Source organism: Homo sapiens, chromosome 10 (assembly GCF_000001405.40).
Source record: "Homo sapiens chromosome 10, GRCh38.p14 Primary Assembly".
Lineage (NCBI taxonomy): Eukaryota > Metazoa > Chordata > Mammalia > Primates > Hominidae > Homo > Homo sapiens.
In genome coordinates, this window is record NC_000010.11 from 6,343,630 (window position 1) to 6,365,171 (window position 21,542).

The 21,542-nt window shown below is 39.5% G+C and overlaps 1 long non-coding RNA gene across 1 annotated transcript, besides 1 other annotated feature; it reads left to right on the forward strand.

The window, feature by feature from the left end:
- Positions 4,381–4,881: a transcriptional cis regulatory region, noted in NCBI's record as "chr10:6389972-6390472 region (GRCh37/hg19 assembly coordinates) targeted for CRISPR interference". NCBI's record gives its function as "positively regulates PFKFB3 gene expression in Jurkat T cells {active_cell/tissue: Jurkat}" and the evidence as "EXISTENCE:mutant phenotype evidence [ECO:0000015][PMID:33828297]".
- LINC02656 (long intergenic non-protein coding RNA 2656) lies at positions 6,687–10,179 on the forward strand. The gene has a single exon (NR_148966.1). It is a non-coding gene; the product is annotated as a long intergenic non-protein coding RNA 2656 (long non-coding RNA).
- The last annotated feature ends 11,363 nt before the right edge of the window (positions 10,180–21,542 follow it).

The following is a 21,542-nucleotide window of genomic DNA, read 5'->3' on the forward strand; positions in this document are numbered from 1 at the left end:
ATACCCATCTGGCTTTATTACAATGTGATTCGGGGACTCTGCAGAGAGCACTCTGCAGCAAAGTATGACATGGGATCTTTTTCAGCTATGGACTTGCCAGCAGTCTTCTGCAGCCATGTCTTCTGGGCCAGCCTTGTAGGGAATTGCCCCTCCCTATTCCTGCCCAGCCTGGTTCCATCTGGTTGCTGTCAGGCTCCCAGCTGCTGGGTGGAGAACTGCAGTGGCAGAGTTTGCTCATCTGGATGCTTAATAAGCAGGCACCCTCCCTATGCCAAAGCAAAGCCTGCAAGAGAGGACTCTGATGGGTTGTGGGCAAGAGCAGCATTGGCTTTGCGATCCCCAATCTCATCGTGACCTCCTGGGTAGGGGAAAGGGAGCCCCTGGCAGAGGCTGTGGCCTCCTCTTCACTGGCAAGATGTGGACTTTTCCTCCTAGTTATGAAAGGGCCATGGGGCATGTCACACATTGAGGGAGGTCTAAGAAAAGGAAACTGCCACCCATGTTTGACTGTGATGACACTGGTAGAAATGCCATCCCGGAAGCAAGGATAGAGACCGCCTTCTCCCTCCCCTTGCGTTTGTTTCCATGTGCTTGTTCCCATTGGGAGTGGGAGGATGAGTTTAGAGAGTATTGAGATGATGCCTTTATTTAGGTGAAGCAGAGCTTGGCCAAGTCTAAAGTCAAGCTCTATAGATGGAGCCTCGCTAGAGGGCTGCCTCTGAGGAGCTAGGATTGCTTATAAGAACCAGGGAGGAGGAAAGACAGTGGAAAGGGGTAGGCAGGGATGCAGGCTGCCCATGGAGCAAGGTGGAGAACCTGTCACAGGGTACCCGGCCTTTTACAAGGGCTTTTCGGGGAAGGAGCTGTATCAGAGGCTGTTACTTGCCTCCTCAATATCCATTCTTCCCTACTGTTGCTATCACAGGAAGGTGAACACGTGCCCAGCTAAAAGCCTATATTTCAGTGTCCCTTGCTGGAATTGTGGCCAAGGAGATGTAAGTGGAAGTCACTGGATGGGATTCTGGGAAGGCTTTGTGAAGGTGGCTGACCCAGCTGGAAAAAGTGACCTTTTGTACTTCTGTCTTCTCCTTTTTTGTATCTGCAAAGAAGTGGAATGACTGGAGCTCCAGCAGCCATCTTGTGCCTATGAGGTGAGTTCTGGAGAACAAAATCCCACAGCCGAAGGTGGTGGAGCAGAATGATATAGGGTACCTGGTTCCTGCTGACAATGTGGAGCCCTCCTATGCTCCCTGGTCATCTCTCCTCAGACCATGCCATGTGAAAGAAAGTCATCCCATAATGTGATTAAGCCATGCTTACTTTGGGTCTCTGCTTATAGCAGACAAAAGCCATTTCTAGATAATTCAGGAGACTAGGCAATACAGACTAGCCTGCTTGCAAGACAAGCTTTCTTAGTCAAGCCTAGGTCTTCACATAGGACTCTTATTCAAGGAATTAGACTGAGAAAAAAGGCAAAGAGGAATCTACATGAAAGAGTGTATTGTGGTGAAAGTTAAACAGTCAAAAATAAACAGTAGTGTCGTTAACAAAATGCCCTTCTCAGTGTGCTCAAACACTTCAGAGTCCTGTTTTCTCAGAATCAGGGGATTGAAAATGACCTTAAATATCATTTAATTTGTTTAGCCCCACTCCCCTTTTTTCTTTTCTCTTTTCCCCTTTTCTCACCCACAGAAAGTCAGTGTCCTTCTGTTTGTGCCTGCTGGCCTTTTGCTGCCAATATCTGAGCAAAGTTGCTCCATATGACCCTGTGATATTGGCAGATCACAAGATTTGTCTCAAGTCATTCAGTATCAGATCCCAGAAGTAGCAACTCTTCTTTTGCTGATGCCTATCCATCTATTTGTCTATCTCTCCATCCATCTATCTACTTATCCATCCATCTGTCCATCCATCCATCCATCCATCCATCCATTTTCATCCATCCATCCATCCATCCATCCATCCATACATCTATCTACTTATCCATCCATCTGTTCATCCATCCATTAATCCATCCATCCATCCATCCATCCATCCATCCATGCATCCATCCATCCATCCATCCATCCATCCATCCATCCATCCACCCATCCATCCATGCATCCTTCCATCCATTTGTTCATCCACCCATCCATCCATCTATCTTCTCTCTCTCTCTCAATCGTCTGTTTATTGGTTGTTTCAAGCACTGCGGCTACACAATTTAAATACATAATCTTCACAACAACCCTATGAGCCTTGTTATCTCCACTCCACAAATTAAGAAATGAGGCTAAAGATAATAAAGTAATTTGCCTAAGGTCAAAGAGCTAAATGCAGGATAAGGTTGGAAGTGTCTATGTGGTTCCAAAGAACCCAACACACTGAACCACTTTGCTAGGCTGGCTTGTCATGGGTTATCCTTCCACATGACAAACAAATAGAGAATTCATTCCAGCCAACACACGCTGATTGCACAAACATAAAAACAGATCTTATAGAAATATATATTTGATGGGCTTCCAGGTAAAGACTTTTGTACAGCCTATCATGATTTACTCTGGCCTCAAAAACTTGCTTTAAAAGCCCAGAAAAAAAAAGTGTGATGTTAAAAGTCTTTGGGTCAGTTGGGTAAGAGGACATCACCAGAGTGGCAAATCCCAATGAAATGGAAGCTCCATGGCCAATAGAAATGGACCCTTGTTAGATTGTGGCTTATTGTAGCAATTCAAATATATTCACCTTTCAAATCATGTCTTTTCCAGGTATTATGACCACACAGGGGAAAGCCAGGTTAGCCCCCATCTTAGAGGATGGTCCTTTTCTGGATCACCAGGTTATAAATTTGTCCTACGACATAGGTTAGCGTGTACTCTTGGCCCTTCAAAGGATGTGGTATTTTGGTGTTGACCTTCAAGACGTTCCATAGTATGTAGTCGTTTTAATTTTGCAGAGGTACAAGTTCAAGGGATATCTGAGATGAGATATTTAGCTAGTGAGGAGGCAAGGGGGTTAGCGAACCCCGTAAAGCTCTTCAGGTGATGAAACGTTGTTAAAAGTATAGAGAGCAATTTGGTAAGAGACAAAAACTTAATGAAATTTGAAAAGACCATTATCTTGTGGGATGGGGATATTTATAGGAAGGGTGACTCAGGGGGCAGGGACTGCTGGGAAAAGCCAGGAACCTGTAGAATCATTAGGATCCAGTCATTTGGAGCTTCCTCCAGGTCTGGGAAGACATTCTTTCCCAGTTCCCAAGGGCCATTGCACTCTGATTTGGAAACAAATAATTTAGGATGAGTATAAAAATGATAAAACTTGCTCATCAAAGTGACATTTTAGACATAGCTAAATATTACCACATACCATATTATACTGTCATAGTTTCCCACCATTTTTTGTTCCTTGGAATAAGGCAACTTATAAATACTCTACATTATGGTTTTTTTTGTTTATTTGTTTGTCTTGTTTTGAGACAGGGTCTCGCTGTCACCCAGGCTGGAATGCAGTAGTGCAATCATGGCTCACTGCAGCCTTGACCTCCTGGGCCCAAGTGATCCTCCCACCTCAGCCTTCCAAGTAGCTGGGACTACAGGCATGCAACACCATGCCCAGCTAATTTTTAAAATTTTGTTGTAGAGACAGGATATTGCTATACTGCCCAGTCTTGTTTCCAACTCCTGGCCTCAAGTGATCCTCCCCCGTCAGCCTCCCAAGGCATAAGTTACTGGTGTGAGCCGCTGCGCTGGCCTATATTATATGTTTTTGCTGCTTCTGTTGGGGAAGAATTTGGTGTTTTATCTGAGAGAGATGACAGGAACCTTGGCCAGATGCCACCCCCAGAAACTCAGTGTCCTTCTGTTGGTAGCTGCTTGCCTCTTTGCTGCCCCTATCAGAGCAGAGTTGTTCATTTGCTTCTCTGAGCACATCTTGTGTGGAGTCTCGGGCCCCAGACAGCAGGGCTGCAAATGACACACTCAGCTGCAAGGCAGCAGTGATCTGTGGACGAGATTCAAATCCAGAGAAAAAAACGGAAGCCTCGAACTGCATCTGAAAACCAGCGAGAAAGAAGCAAATTCCTGTGAAATGGCACAGGCATCATTTCAGCGTTGACTCATTCTGCTCAAACCTGTCACCGCTCACACGGGAGTGGTCGTTGGAATAAGGGACTTCTCCTCAGGTGAATGACAAAGAAACACAGATTTGGATTTGCCCAGGTGTCTGGAGAGGAGGCTGCCCCTGGATGCCGTGCCCCACTGTGCAGAAAGGGGATGCCCGGGGCATTGTCACCGCAGCGAGTCTGCACCTACCATCCTCTGGCCCCTTTCTGCCACCTCTGCAGCATCTCCAATTAAATTTTAAAAAAGTAAAAGTGGGGACAAGAATCATCTGCCTGCCTGTGTTTGGCCCTCCTTCCAAGTTTTTGTGTTCTGTTTGAAATCAAACTTATGCTTTCTTCCAAAATGAATGACAGAGAAAAAAGAAAAAGCCACCCAGGCTTGAAAAGTGGTAGCTTCTTGCCGCCGACTTCCTGCCGGTGCCAAGTCAGAGGGAGCTCTGCGTGTCCTCAGTTCACCCTCGCCAGGCCACACCGCATGCAAATAAGAAGCTGTTTCAGTGTGTGCCCATCTGAGACGCTGACATAAAAAAGGAAGAAAGAAAGGAAAAAAACCACCGTCACCACCAACAAAAAAACCCAAAACTGATTAATTCTCGTAGATTGCAGCAGAGCAGGGGGCCTGGTGGTGACACATCCTGTTTTGCTGTTCAAGTTGTCATCCCCCAAGCCAATAAGCTCCCTCATGAACGGCACCAGTTATGAAGGGTGACAAAGAATTCAAAACACTCACAGGACAATTTTCCTAACCCTTGGTCTCTCGGAATGCTATTTTTTAGGCTAATTTGTTTTGATGAGAAAACTATGCCTGCTAGGCCTATTTTTAAGCCAGATTTGAAGTCAACGCAGTTGGTATTTGATCTTGCAAGAACGACAGAGGTGTCAGCAGCAGCTCTGCCATTTAAGAGCTGTAGCCTGGTGGGACACCGTCCTGCAACCAGGGCCCTAGCACAAGAAGTATCTCTGTTGTTATTTGCTTCTCTTCTTTGAGATCCATACTTGATTTGAAAAATCACCACTTGAGCGGCACCTGGTGATTACGTAACCATTCAACTCTGTGTTTTATCCTAGGGCTAGGTAAGAAATTGAAAATCCAGCCTGAAATAATTAGTTTAGCTGCAGACAGGGTGTATTAAACAGACTCAATTTAATAGAGCTAGAACCATAAGATGAATGTATTTATCTTCAATCAAAGATGACATGTTGGACAGATTCCTTCATTCATCACTTTTCTGTTATGTTTAGCCCTAAGGGAAGTCTTTTTTAGATACGTAAGATGCACCTTCAGGGTTAAAGCATCTAGTCCAGTCTGAATAAAACATCAAAAGCACCTACAATCCCAAGCTCCTTCAAGAACTTTGCAGGCAGTCTTCGGGTGAGTTTGGTAAGACTATTAATCGGAGTAATGAAATAAAGTATTATCACATCTATTTATTTTTCTCATTTTCTTTTAACTTCTCTTTTGTGTATGTTCTAAAATACACATAATTTTCAGTTCATAGGGCATTTTCCCCTTGTAAGTAAATATGAATATATTTCAGAGTGAGCTCAAAGTTTTACGTTAGATTTAGGTAGGCATTTTTTTTTTTTTTTTTTAAGATGGAGTTTCACTCTGTCACCCAGGCTGGAGTGCGGTGGCTCGATCTTGGCTCACTGCAACCTCCGCCTCCTGGGTTCAAGCGATTCTCCTGCCTCAGCCTCCTGAGTAGCTGGGATTACGGGCACCCACCACCACACCCGGCTTATTTTTGAATTTTTAGTAGAGCTAGGGTTTCACCATGTTGGCCAGGCTGGTCTAGAGCCCCTGACCTCAGGTGATCCACCCACCTCGGCTTCCCAAAGTGCTGGGATTACAGGCGTGAGCCGACAAGGTAGGCAAAAGTTAAAAACAAAAAAACAAAAAAACAAAAAAAAATTTGGAATAGTCTGTAACAGAGGAGGGCTTGAAGAGAAGTGAGGTGATTTGCAGAAGCATCAGCCAGGAGGCATTCCTCCAGGAGAAAAATTTTTACTTAAAGGAGAGAGCTTAGTGATGGAGAAGGAAAAGATCTCGACAGACATTCAAGATTAGAATCATAAGTTGGCCATTGATTGGGTGTGGCTCTGGGAAGTGGAGGTGCTGTGGGCAGGGGCTGGCTTGGGCAATGAGAAAATGGTGTTGCTTATGTGCCCACTCTGTGCTGGGACTCAGCTGTGAGTGCCTCCAAATTCACCACATTTATCAAACCTCAGTGCTCTGAGACAGCATATGATGGCCTAGCAGGATGTCCATTCTTTTCCTGGAACCACCCATCCAGTTATCTCCTTGAGTCGCCTGGGTGGTGAAAAGTGGTCTCATGCACAATGGATGCGGTGTGATCCCCTTGCTATGTCACGCATGGCGTCTGCCCTCTTCCCTGGCACCTGTGCCACTCCAGGTTATGCCTGTGCTGCTGCCCATTCTACGCCCACCTGGAAAGCCTGAAACCTTCTCGTGCCTTCTACTGCAGCTGGGGAGCTTCTTCCACGTCTCATAGCCAGCTTCTCCAGAGGGAACTCCCAGAGCTGACTGTACTTTCCTACCTCAGCCTCTTCTTCCTGGGATGGTGTCAAAATATGAACAGATACAGCTTCATGCTTTCAGGAAACCACCTTCTCTTCCATCTTCTCCTTTGGCCTGCTCAGACAGCCAGACTTCTTAAACATATTTTTCCTACAGGCTCATGCAAATTAAGGGATGTGGCTGAGCATCTCCTTCAGTGCCCTCAAACAGGTCATGAATGTTGCAAAGCCCAGAATCGTGCTAACCTGGTAGAAGGCTGGTTTAGCCAGAACACACAGAGAGGACCTTCTCATGATGGTGTGGCTGAATTCCACATGTCACTAACAGTATCTTGCCCTGACCCGACTCCAAGTACTGATCCCCAAGGAAGGCATAATAGAGAGCCCATCTTGGGGAGGGATGATGACTTCATGTGCAAACAAGTCAAATTCAGGATGTGTGTTGTGGGCAGAGATGGCAATGCCCAGTCATCTGTTAGGTATACAGGTCCGCTGTACAGGAGAAAAATCAGAACAGAATTTCTATTTGTAGTGTTTCTTTTAGAGACTAGGGAATTGAAACCACAGGTGAATAAGAATGTACAAGGAACCAGGCCTTCTTGAAGAAATAGCTGAACCAGATTGGTGTCAGGAGCTGTACAAGGGGATCCAAGAATGTCTTGTCATACAAGCCGGACAGCTATTAAAGACAACTGAGGTCATGGCAAAAGGGCCCAGGCTTCTACTGGCCAACAATGAGACAATTTGAGCATCCCAAAGAATAATGACTTTAGTGGACTGAAACACATCAACATGTATACATCCATGAATTCATAATACTCAAAACGGTAAAACCAAACTCATTTGTTACCTTTGGAGGAGTCTGTCACCTCTGATTATTCTGAAAACTGGTAAATAGAAGGGGAAAATTCAAGCATTTATTCTGCTTTTCTTGTATAAACTGTACCTCACAGTTACGGAAGAGCTGATAAGGGAAATGTCTTCTTTATTGAAAAATTCAGCTGATACATTTGGAAGGAATGAGAGAATTACAGTACCACCATTAGGTGACAATGAGGGTCTGGTTTTTTATTTTTCTTTTGCTGAGTGCTGGGAACATAGTGATAACAAAAAAAGCCATAGTGTTCTGGCCCTTCTGGAGTTTTGATTCTAGCACATTAACCAAATAATCCCAGAGCAAAAATAAAATGTCAACTATGGTAAGTGTAGAGAAGGGAAAATACACAGAACTTTTAACAGCTTAGATCCGAGGAAGCTGACCAGCCTGCAAAAAGGGACAGCTTCCCTAGGGAAGTGACTTTGCAGCTGTGATGATGGATGACTAAGAGTTAACCAAGGAATGGGAGGAGGGAGGAGGAGACAGAGAAGGCTTTCCAAGCAGAAGCCAGAGCATGTGCAAAGATCCTGTGGCAAGAAGGAGCCTGGTGCAGGGGAGGAACGAAGAGACATGCAAGCTGGCTGGAGTGCAGAGAGGGAGACAGGCAGGCAGGCAGGTGGTTGGATGGGGAGGCAAGGATCAGATCCTGAGTCCCTTGGAGAAGCAGGAAGGCATCATGATGACTAATGTCAGAGGCAGGGGAGGACAGGTAGGGATAGACAGGGAAGCAGTGCTGGGAAGATGCTAAAATGCTGCAGTTTGTGCTTGGAAAGATCATGGCCTGGTTCTTCCATTGTCATGATGGGTTGTTCTCTTTCTTATTGTTTTTCTAATTTGTCTTGACTAATGGAGAAGATCAGGAGCTCAAAAATAGAGGTTGTTTACAGCACTCAGTTTGGCTGCTATAGGTTAATGGGCTTAGACTCTTTAAGGGGATTAGGCTTTTGCTCAGAGACCAGTGGAGTATTCTAGCCAGGCTGTCTTGTGAAGGTGGTATGTTAAGAACTAGGTTTGTCTGATTTCTCAAATTAAAATGTGGTACATCAAATTAAATTTGAATTTCAGATAAATAACAACTAATTTCAGATGTGTCAGATAAAGAATGGATATGGCTCTAGTACAATATGGGATAATGAATATTTTCAGATAAATAGATGCCCTGTATTCTGTGTAGCAAGCATAACTAGAGAATCAATGTTAGTGCTCAAACTAAGAAGACTTTTGAGAAATTATCAGAGGTAAATACAAATATACATTTCCATCCATCCATCCATCCATCCATCCATCCATCCATCCATCCATCCATCCATCCCTGTTGAGCTCCAACTATGTGTCAGGCACTTCTGGGGGGTTGAGGGTATTGTGATCAGTAAGACAAACTCTCTGCCTTTATAGTGTTTACATTCTAGGAGAAAAATATTCATCTTAGAGAGATTATAAAAAACAAATCTTCCGAAATAGTATCTGTTACGTCCAAAATAGAGGAATGTATAAATAAATGTTAATATGATGGACTAACACGCAGCCATTACAAAAATCCTGTTTTGAAGGCTATTAAATGTCATGGTGAATTGATTCCAATATAAAACCAAATGAAATAAAAGCAGTTCACAAAACCACGCATGAAGTATGTAAATTTTGTAAACCAAAATTACAAGGTGACCTCAGTATCTAGAAAAATACACCAATGGTGGCTGTATCTGAGTGCTGCTAGAATTATTACTAACATTTTATTATTTACATTTGTATTTTCTTTTTCACAGTTTCTACAAAGAATTATGGATGATTTTTATATTTAGAAAACCTTTTTTTATTTGTGGACATCTATTACCTGTGGGCCCCACAGCAGCATGGAAAAGATTAAAGATTTGTGTCAGCTTTGACGCTGCCGTTAATTATCAGGACAACCTACAGCAAGTCATGCCATTTATCTGGGCCTCACTTTCTTTGGATTTAATTATGGACTAAGCTGTGATTTTCTGTGTAATTAAGAACCAAACTAAAGTTTAAAAAATATGCCTTTGTTTTATGGAAGAGTCCAGAGACACCATCATTATACTGTGTGTCTTTATAAAACCCATATACCTTATTCTTTTGTTTTATCTAGCTATTATATTGTCTATAACTTACTTTTAAATATTCTAGTATAGACAGGTGTGTGTGTGTGTGTGCGTGTGTGTGTGTGTATTCTTAATCCTCTATAAGGTTGTAGCTAAAATTTAAAATACTTTAACTGGACACACATCTTTTAGGAGTGGTTGGTAGTGTTTGAAGGACTACTATAAGGCCTTAATGATCTTTATCTCTAGAGAGTTCTAGAAGGTTCCCTAATTAGCCTAATAAATAAAAGAAGTTATTTTGCACTGGAAAATTAAGGAGTGTTGGAGATATGTGATTTGGCTAGTGCTATTTAAAGACACCCCTGTCCTTGCATAAATAGGGTTTAGGAATCTAGTAATCCTGGATTACAAACTTTGTTTGGAGTGATGCCTAAACCAGGTATGCCAATCTGTCTTGTGTCCACATACTAACAGAGGGTTCTAGCAACTTAATCCCATTAGCATGTTAGCTGAAGACTACTGCTAGAATGCTGTTATGTTTGTTTAGAGTTAATATTTCATGGAAATGTCTGAACCCTGGTACTGTATTAAACTCATAGAAATGGCTTTGTGCCTGTTTGCTAATAAATATTTCTCTGTGTGGCAGAATTTGGTTTGGGGTGTGCTGTCTAGCTGTCTAAATCACGTATCTCTTAGTATTGCAGTAATGGGTGAAGAGATATATAGTTCTTCTCACCTTTAATTGTTGGATGTGCAAAGAACCTGGTAATTTTGAATGACTGAATGGATTGAGATCAGTTGGCATATTAACGATAAACTTTATCTTACAGAAATCTTTTATTTACTTGAGGTTTTAAAATTATTATAAAACTAATAACGTATAAAGTATCTCCCAAACTAACACAGATTCCTACTACTTGGATGTATTATGTCTCTATTACCTGTCTTTTACTTTTAGAATAGAGCTGTGTTCCACAACCTCTCAGTTTAGGCTTATAGGTGCAATAATTCATTAAAAATGAATGCTGGGTTTGAAAAGTGTCACCCGAATGCTAAATATGCAACAGGCAGCCTAGTTCTGGCTCTCTGGAGAGAGTAAAGAGAGGTTTTGGCAAAAAGTCTTGGAAACAACCAGCTGATCTTACTGCCTTCATTTTGATGAGATAATTTGTGTTTATGCACATATTGAATTACGCTTAAATACATGGAAAATTTTAAATGCCAAAGGAAGGGGAAAAATGCTACATAGCACACATTTTAAGTGTTTTTTTTTTTTTTTTTCCTGCTAAACTCAAACCACTTGAAAGCTAGGAAGAGTCACTGCTGGAAGATCCAATGCTGGAATTGACAGTAGATGCTCACAGTCATCACGGGAGCTGAGCTCTATAACTGTACCCAGTCCAGGGCCTGTACATACACTGGTTCCTACAAGGGTGGTGATGCGAAGTGAATGCTTGGGAACTGGGACTGGGATGTAAATTTCCCGTTTGCCAGGGGCCAGCTCTGGGACCTCAGGTGAATGTGACACTTCTCTGGGTAGCCAAGTCATCACCTACAGAATGCAGGACATGTCAAACAACTTCATTTGATGCACAATAAGCAAAAATCAGCAAACTCTCAGGGGACTTTGTAAAGACACAGGCAGTTTGAGGAGGTAATGTGGCAGAGTGGGAAGAGTGAGAATTTGGTAATAACCAAATGAACAAAGAAACAAAATAAAGAAACAACAGATAATGTTTTCTGAACATTTACTATGTATGATGGAATATAATATCTTCAACAGATCTTTTGATTGAGTGTTTTTATAGGCAAGCTGATTCCTCAGTCTGAACCTTATTTGCCATTAAGACTGCCCCATGCAGTGCAGTTGGGAAGGCAGGAGATTAGATGCAGGTGAAATCCTAGTCCTAAAGGAAGGGGAGGTAAAAGAGAAAAGCTCGACTTTTTCTGTTCCTGGATACATTGTCGTATCAGGAGTAGGACAGGATGGAGGCAGAGTGAGCAGGTAATAGAGTGTGAGTGTGACCTTGGGCAAGTCATTTACTTTCTAAGCCTTGTAACTCAGCAAAACTGAACTAAGAAAGAATGAATTACTTTGCAGGTTGCTGTGAGCATTGTAAGTATACAGTCAATTCACTCATTTATTTGAGATGATATTCTGAGCAGAGTAGACTTACACAGGTATGAGACACGGTTTCTATCTTTGAGGAGTTTATAGTGGAAAATGACATCTGTAAATAAGCAAACACAATAAAGTATGACAAGTCCTCCCCTAGTCAGCCTAGAAAAGAGTTTTAAGAGCAGGTGAAGCACACGCTGATTCTTTAAGGATATGTGTCAGGTGGACGAAAGGGCAAGGAAAACCCAGGCGTGAAGGTATGTATGCATACGTATTACAGAACTGCTCAGCGGTATTAGTTTATTGTTACTATTGTTGGTGCTACTGTTGTCCTTGCCTTTGAGGGCTTATAACATCATTGGGAAAATGTGATGATTAAACATGGAAAATGCCACAGAAACAACCATAGCAACCACTCCAAGCTGTGCACTTGAGGGCTAGGGGCCTGTTAGGAAATAATAATAAAGAAACAACAGATAATGTTTTCTGAACATTTACTATATATGGTGGAATATAATATCTTCAACAGATCTTTTGATTGAGTGTTTTTATAGGCAAGCTGATTCCTCAGTCTGAACCTTATTTGCCATTAAGACTGCCCCATGCAGTGCAGTTGGGAAGGCAGGAGATTAGATGCAGGTGAAATCCTAGTCCTAAAGGAAGGGGAGGTAAAAGAGAAAAGCTCGACTTTTTCTGTTCCTGGATACATTGTAGTATCAGGAGTAGGACAGGATGGAGGCAGAGTGAGCAGGTAATAGATATTTAATTCATTTATATTTAATGTACTAATATTTACTCCTACCATCTAAGTTTATGCTCTTTAATTGTCCTGAAATTTCTTTGTCCTTTTTGCTATTTTTAAGGGGAGGGATTAATTAGTTTTTTTTCATTCTACTTTTTTCCCCTCCAGTAGTTAGAAAGTCATATATTTCTATTCACTTACTGCTTACACTAGAAATTACAGTACTCATACTGACTATATCAAATTCTAACTGTTAATCAATATCTTTGTCCTCTGGTGTACCAGATTATATTTCCTTTTGTAATTCTTAGGATTTGTCAGACATACTGAATCTGTAGATTGATGTCTATCATCATGACAAAAAATTCAGAGACAGTCTTTTTAAATGCCTCTGTGATATTTTCTCTTTTTCTCCTGTTGACTCTGTTCAATTCTCTTTTCTTTTACAACTATGATTATGCTTTACTTTCTTTATTTGACATGACACTTGTTCTCTTTTTCACATTTTCATCCTCTAACTCTCTGGATTATCTTCTGCATAATTTCTTCAGAGAAACTTTCCAATTCATTAATTGTCTTTTCAGCTGTGTCCAATTTGCTATTAAACTTGTTTATTCACTTTGCTTTAAATATTTTAGTTTTTGTTTCTAGAAATTTCTTCCCCCATAGCTTCATGTCGGTTTTGTGTCCTGCAACTTTATTGAATTCATTTATTAATTGGTTCTAATAGTTTTTTGGTGGCGTCTTTAGGGTTTTCTATACATAAGATCATGCTGATCTGAAAATAGGTACAATTTAACTTCTTTTCCATTTTGGATGACTTTTATTTCTTTTTGTTTGTTTTGTTTTGTTTTATTATTATTATACTTTAAGTTTTAGGGTACATGTGCACAATGTGCAGGTTAGTTACATATGTACACATGTGCCATGCTGGTGTGCTGCACCCATTAACTCATCTTTTAGCATTAGGTATATCTCCTAATGCTATCCCTCCCCCCACCCCACAACAGTCCCCAGAGTGTGATGTTCCCCTTCCTGTGTCCATGTGTTCTCATTGTTCAATTCCCACCTATTAGTGAGAATATGCGGTGTTTGCTTTTTTTGTTCTTGTGATAGTTTACTGAGAATGATGATTTCCTATTTCATCCATGTCCCTACAAAGGATATGAACTCATCATTTTTTATGGCTGCATAGTATTCCATGGTGTATATGTGCCACATTTTCTTAATCCAATCTATCATTTTTGGACATTTGGGTTGGTTCCAAGTCTTTGCTATTGCGAATAGTGCCACAATAAACATACGTGTGCATGTGTCTTTATAGCAGCATGGTTTATAGTCCTTTGGGTATATACCCAGTAATGGGATGGCTGGTTCAAATGGTATTTCTAGTTCTAGATCCCTGAGGAATCGCCACACTGACTTCCACAATGGTTGAAATAGTTTACAGTCCCACCAACAGTGTAAAAGTGTTCCCATTTCTCTATCCTCTCCAGCACCTGTTGTTTCCTGACTTTTTAATGATTGCCATTCTAACTGGTGTGAGATGGTATCTCATTGTGGTTTTGATTTGCATTTCTCTGATGGCCAGTGATGGTGAGCATTTTTTCATGTGTTTTTTTGGCTGCATAAATGTCTTCTTTTGAGAAGTGTCTGTTCATGTCCTTCGCCCACTTGTTGATGGGGTTGTTTGTTTTTTTCTTGTAAATTTGTTTGAGTTCATTGTAGATTCTGGATATTAGCCCTTTGTCAGATGAGTAGGTTGCCAAAATTTTCTCCCATTTTGTAGGTTGCCTGTTCACTCTGATGGTAGTTTCTTTTGCTGTGCAGAAGCTCTTTAGTTGAATTAGATCCCATTTGCCAACATACTTGCTTTGGAAGTCCTAGCCAGAGCAAGTATGCAAGGGAAAGAAAGAAAAGTCATCTGCCAAAATTGACAGATGACTTTTTCTTTCCCTTGCATACTTGCTCTCGCTAGGACTTCCAATACTATGTTGAACAGAACAGGGCTTGTTCTTGACTTGTTCCAAATCTTAGAGGAAAAGCTTTCAACTTTCCCCCATTAGGGATGATGTTAGCTGTGGGTTTTTCATATATGAACTGTATTGTGTACATTCCTTCTATAACTAATTTGTTGAACATTTTTTATCATTAAAGAATGTTGAATTTTGTCAATTTTTTATGCGTCTATTGAAATGATGAATTTCATTGATTCATTAGCTTATGTTGAACCATCCTTACACACATGGAATGAATCTCACTTGATCACAGTGAATGATTTTAATTTGCTGTTGAATTTGATTTTGTTGAGAATTTTTGTATGTATGTTCAGATACATTGGCTTGTAGTTTTTAATTTTTTTGTAGTGTCTTTGGCTCTGGTACTGGGATAATGTTGCTATTGTAAAATGAGTTTGGAAGTATTCCCTCCTCTTCAATTTTTGGAAGAGTTTGAAAAGAATTAATATTCTTTGAAGATTTGGTAGTATTCAGCAGTGAAGCCAGTAATTCCTGTGTTTTTTTTCCTAAGTTATCCAATTTGTTAGTGTATAATTGTTCATAATAGTCTCTTGCGATCTTTTGTATTTGTGTTGTATCTTTTGTAATGTCTTCCTTTTTTTCTGATTTTGTTTTTTTCTCTTTTTTTCTTAGTCTAACTAAAGGTTTGTTTATTTGTGTTTATCTTTTGAAAAAGCCAGCCGATAGTTTCACTGATCTTATTCCTGCTCTGATATTTATGGTTTCTGTTTTTGTTCTTTTAGTTCATTGAGGTGAGTTATTTGAGATCATTATTCTGTTTTGACATAGACATTTATTGCTATAAACTTCCCTCTTAGGATTGCTTTTGTTGTATTACATAAGTTTTGGTATATTGTATTTCAATTTTCATTTTTCTCAAAAAGTAAAAAAAATTAAAAATTTTTTTTCATTGATCCATTTGTTCTTCAGGAGCATGTTGTTTAATTTCCATGTATTTGTGAATTTTCCAAAGCTTCTCCGGTTATTGATTTCTAGTTTTGTACCATTGTTGTCATAAAGATACTTGATATGATTTCAATCTTCTTAAATTTGTTAAGACTTGTTTTATGGCCTAACATATAATCTATCCTGGAGAATGTTCCATGTGTAGTTGAGAAGAATGTGTATTATGTAGCTGTTGAATGGAATGTTTTCTATATGTCTGTTAGGTCCATTTGATCTAGACTGTACTTTAAATTCAATGTTTCTTCATTAATTTTCTTTCTTTCCATTGCTGTCAGTGGGGTGTTGTCCTCTACTATTATTGTATTGAAATTTATCTCCCTTAAGATCTGTTAATACTTGCTTTATATATTTAGGTGCTCCAACATTGGGATTGACTGTGTGTGTGTGTGTGTGTGTGTGTGTATGTATGTATGTATGTATGTATATATATATATATATATATATATATATATATATATATATATAAAGTTGTTATATCCTGTGGCTGAATTGACTCTTTTATCATTACATAATGACCTTCTTGATTTCTTTGTACAATTTTTGACTTAAATTCTATTTTATCTGATATAGCTATTCCTTCTCTCTTTTGGGTTTAATTTGCATGGAATATCTTTCTCCATGAAATCACTTTGCATATGTGTGTCCTCACAGGTGAAGTGAGTCTCTTGTAGACAGCACATAATTGGTTTGTTTTAAAAAAATTATTCAGCCACTCTGTGGTTTTTATTGGAGAATTTAATCAATTTATATTCAAGGTAAGTATTGATAGGTAAGAACTTACTACTTTCATTTTGTTAATTGTTTTCTAGTTGTTTTGTAAATCCTTTGTTCTTTTTTTTGCTATATTCCTTTGTATTTTTTTTCTAGTAGTATGTTTTGATTTCTTGCTTTTTCGTGGTTACCATGAAACTTACAAAAAACATCTTGAAGTATAAAAGGTTATTTTAAGCAGATAACTTAACTTTGATTGCAAAAAAATAGAAAATAAAACTGTACAGTTTTAGTCCAACACTTGCCCAACATTTTGAATTTTGATGTAATTAATTCAAATTAATTTAAATTTAATTTGAATTTTTGGTGGCATAATCTTTATATGGCATGTGTCTCAAATTATTGTAGCTATTATACAATATAGTATACAATATAAATAAGTAGTTAATAGTTTTGCCTCTAAACCTTCATACTAATGATATAAATGTTTTACACACTATCATTATAGTATTAGAGTATTCAGAATTTGACTGTGTACTTAGTTTTACCAGTGATTTTTATTGTTTTTTATTACTCATTAGCATCATTTTCTTTCAGCTTGAAGAACTCCCTTTAACATTTCTTGTATGACAGGTCTAGTGGGGATGAACTTTTAACCTTTTGTTTGTCTGGAAAAATCTTTATCTCAATCTACTTCATTTCTGAAGGACAGCTTTGCTGGGTACAGTGTTCTTGGTCAACAGGTGTTTTGTTTGTTTGTTTTTCCCCCCTTCAGCACTTTGAATATATCACTATATCATTCTTGTCTTTCTTGGCCTGTAAGCCTTCTGCTGAGATATCTGTTGATAGCTGTATCGGAACTTCCTTATACGTTATTTGCTTCTTTCACCTTGATGTTTTTAGAATCCTCTCTTTGCTTTGGTTTTCAACAGTTTGATTATGTCTTGGGGTAGTCTTCTTTGGATTAAATCTGATTGGAGATCTTTGACTTTTCTATATTTGCATATTTACATCTTTCTGCAGGTTTGGAAAGTGTCCTGTGATTATTTTTTAAAATGAGCTTTCTACCTCTTTATCTTTTTCTTCTCTTAAATTCTTATGACTTGGATTTCGGTCTTCTGATGTTGTCCCATAAGTACCAGAAGCTTTTCTTATTTTTCATTCTTTTTTCTCCTCTGACAATATTTTCAAATAACTTGTCTTTGGGGTCACAGATCCTTTTCTTCTGCTTGATAAATTCTATTGTTGATACTGTATTGCATTTTACATTTCACTTATTGTATTTTTTCAGCTCCAGGATTTCTGTTTCTTTAAAAAATTACTTCACTGTCTCTGTAGACTTCTTGTTCTGATAACTTATTATTTTCCTTATTTTATTGAATTGTTTATCTGTATTTTCTGGAAGTTCACTGAGCTTCCTTAAAAGAGTTATTTTCAATTCTTTCTCAAGCAGTTCATACATTTCCATTTCTTTAGGGCCAGTCACCTGCACTTTATTTTGTCTCTTTGGTGATGTCATGTTTTCCTGATTGTGCTTGATCCCAGTGATTGTGCATTGATGTCTGCAAATTTGAAGTAGGTACTCATTTCATTCTTTGCCCAGGCACTTCGTCTGGGAAAGCCTTTCAACAATCAGTTCATCCAAAGATTCTGGACAGGCTATCTGGCATGGTTCTAAAGCTTGGGGATACTGGGGCTGGTGCATCACTGGAGCAGGCCAGAAACCTGGGGTTACTAAGGCTTGCCTGCCACTGAGGGCAGTCTGGATCACAGGGCCACTGAAGTTGGCTTGCCCTGTGTCCTGCCTGGTGCCTGAGTGGGTATAAAGGCTCAGTCTGCAGGTACCAGTCTGGGGTCTGGGGCTATGTGGGCCTGTCCAATAATGAGTTTTATTGTGGCAGGACCGGTGTTGAGACCAAGGCAAAGTCCTGTACTCACTTTTCTCTCTTTTCACCAAATGAATGACATCTCTCTCCATACTGTGCTGCCTGGGTTTGGGGAAGGAATGATGTGGGAAATGTAAAACTGTCCTTCCTGCCCCCTTTAGGGTATTTTTTCTTATTATTGTGCTATGCCAGGTGTTGCAATCTCTCACCTGGTTTCCTCAGCTCTTGTAAAATTATTTTTGTGTGTGAATAGTTGTTCAAATTGATGTTTCTGCAGAGAGATAATCACTGGAGAGTTTTCTTCCACCATCTTGCTCTGTCCCTGTCTTCTTAACAGATATATTTCTAATGGAAACTTTCAGGAAATACATAACAAGGAACACAACGTTGATATTCCAGAGGAAATCAGGCTTAATTGCCTTCAGGGTAAACAGATCAATATCTTACTCTAGGACTAGAGTCTGGGAGTACAAACCAGAGGGACATTAGTATTTTTACAATATCTACACTTCCTTGGATTTTTCGCACAGAGTATTAACTTTAGGAAGTTTACACTCAAGAGAAAATAGGCTGACTCTAAGAAAATCCAGGCTAGAGCGTTACTTGAATAAGGCTTTATCTCCATTAATGGGCTAAATAAGTTCAAGTGTGCACATCCATCCCAGAACTTCAGAGACTGCCTGTCTCAGACTGTAATGAAAGGAATAAGAGAGAATGGAAGAACTTTATATAAGACATAGAGGCCATTTTTGGAAATAAGCATTTGGATGGCAAAGAATTGAATCAGACAAATTAGAAATGAAGGAAGAGGACATAGAGTACCAGGTTAATATTTTTATAAGCTTAAGATGATAACATTTCAGGTCCTCATAGTAAAACATTATACCTCTTCCCTCCCTATGATACTTTCAACTTTTTACTTGTGTTATAATTTTTTTTATCAATTTCTCTCTGTCAGATTCTAAGCACCTCACAGGTAAGATAAACATAATTACAGTGTTAACTTAAATTCAAGTGGACATTCTTGCTACCAATTATTAACACACACAAAATATATAGCCAACAGGTATACTCGTTAATGTTCATGGTCTGTTAACTACTACTGAGGACTCTGAGTGATTTAAAAAAAAGGGCTTAAGGCCCAAACTCTCATGAAAATGTCTGAAATGATTCCTGTTGAAAAGGAATTGAAGTGGATAGGGTTATTTTCAGTGGCAACTGACCAATGAAATTCAATTTATTTCAATTTAACAATCCTATTATGTTTCAAAAAAGACAGTGTAAAAATATACTCTCCAGCTGTATTGGAAGAGAATTTTAAAGGACTGCTTTTGGCACACAGTTGGTATTCTTAAGAAATCATGCCAGAGGAACAACAACAGAGGTAGCACCTCAACTCTTGTTGGGCTATGCAGCTGATTCCAGGAGATTTCAGACCCTTGGCAGGTGTTCTGCTTATGGTTTCAGGTCACTCTGAACTCTAGAGTCTTAAACCTTTTCACTTCAAACACTGTTCTCACCTTTTGTTCAAAGTGATAATATCAGGGGAATATGTAGCAGCCAGTTAAAATTAATTTATCCATGTTAAAAGGATATTTGCTTGGAAGAAAGCTACAGACTAATTTCCTGCCAGTTCAATTTTATCCATTGCTGAAACCAGAAATCTCCACACTATCCTCAAAAACATCCTTCTTTTTATTCTTGACTGTCAATTTTACTTGCAAAATGCCTATCATGTCTGTGCCCACAGATCCATTTTTTGCTGCCACTATGTATTTCAAACCTCTGTCATCTCTTACATGGGCTCTTGCAGAAAACATCTGAAGTTAGTTATCCCTTCCTTTAATGCATGTGCTGCGCTTAACCATAGCTTGTGTCAGATCACAGCCCCAAGGAATACCTTCAATGGTTGCCCAGAGGATCAAGCGTTAAGTATCTTAGCATGATTTTCAAGGCATTGAGCAATCTGAGACCAATGTACTTTGCTGACTTTTCCTCCTGGGAGGCCCTGATGACCTTATGTCCTGGTCACACTTGATATTGCACCAATTCCTTCCTATGTCATGTACATTCATGCTTCTGTGACTTTGTTCAACCTGTTTCCTCCACCCAGATTTTTGTTCTCATTCTCCTTGCCTGGTGGAAGTCCATTCATCCTTTAAGACCCAGCCAGGTGGAATGGAACTTGCACAAGCTCCCTTATCTAACATGGTAGACACCAGCAATCAGCTGATTAATCAAAAGAGTCAGTCAGTCAAAGAAGGAAATAAAAAAATAAATAAAACCAACAGAGTAAAACGTTCTCACTTAAAACATAAGAACATTCATTTATTGACCCTTTGGTGGAAGACTTTTTGAGTGTGGTTTCTCTAATAGAAGTTCTTCAGACTTTCTTCATAGAGTACTGTCAGAATATTTATTTCCTTTTCCAGTTTGGGTTCCTTATAAAGGAGTGAGAATTTAAAGGTGCTTGAAAAGCAATCCAAATGCAGAGGTTTAGGCTTTTATGATTTCATCCCCCATCTTTTACAATGGTCTTATTTACCTCTAGTTAAACAGCATTAAAAAGTCAATTTTGCACACCAATGGTAACGTACTTAATACCCTGAACTGCATACTTAAACATGGTTAAAATGGTGTCTTAGTCAGCTCTGACTGCCATAACAAAATAGCACAGACTGGGTGGCCTAAACAACAGACATTTATTTTCTCACAGTTCTGGAGGCTAGAAGTGACACATCGAGGTGCTGGTCAAGTCAATTTCAGGTGAGGCCTCTCTTTTTGGCTTGAAGGTAGTGCATTTTCTCTGTTCTCACATGGCAGGGTGGAGTCGGGGAGCACTCTCAGATGTCACTTCTCATAAGGACACTAATCCTATTGGATCAGGGCCCCACCCTTAGGGCCTCATTGAACCTTAATTACTTCCTTAGAGGTTGCAGCTTCAAATACAGCCACTCTGGGGTTAGGCTTCTACATAGGGATTTTGGAAAGACACAAACATTCAGTCCATAACAGATGGTAAATTTTATGTTATATGTATTTTACCATCATTCAAAAAAAAAAAGAAGCTGCCAATTGTTTTCTGAATATATACATATATGTGTGTGTGTGTATATATATATATACACACACATACACACACACATATATATATATACACACATATATATATATGTATAACACTTTGCCTAACTGGGTCGTTTCAAAGCACTCAACTTAGTTTTTTTGGAAACAACTCTCTTTTGTGTTCATATTTCATTCATCGTGGAATGTTTTGCTAAAAGAGCCTGCATAGGTTTGAGAACCACTGTCATTGACTCTAGTAGAGACAGCAGCCCAGTGTGTGCCTCTGAAGATAAGCTTCCTGGCAGTGAACTGCCAGTATGCTCCAGGCACGACTGAGTCTGTTTTACAGAGGCCATGGAGAGCTGTCATTAATCTGTGAGTCTGTGAAGTGGAGGCCACTTGACAGTTTCTGCTGAGATGCTTCCGATGCCCTCAGTGTGTGCATGATCCACAAATAGCT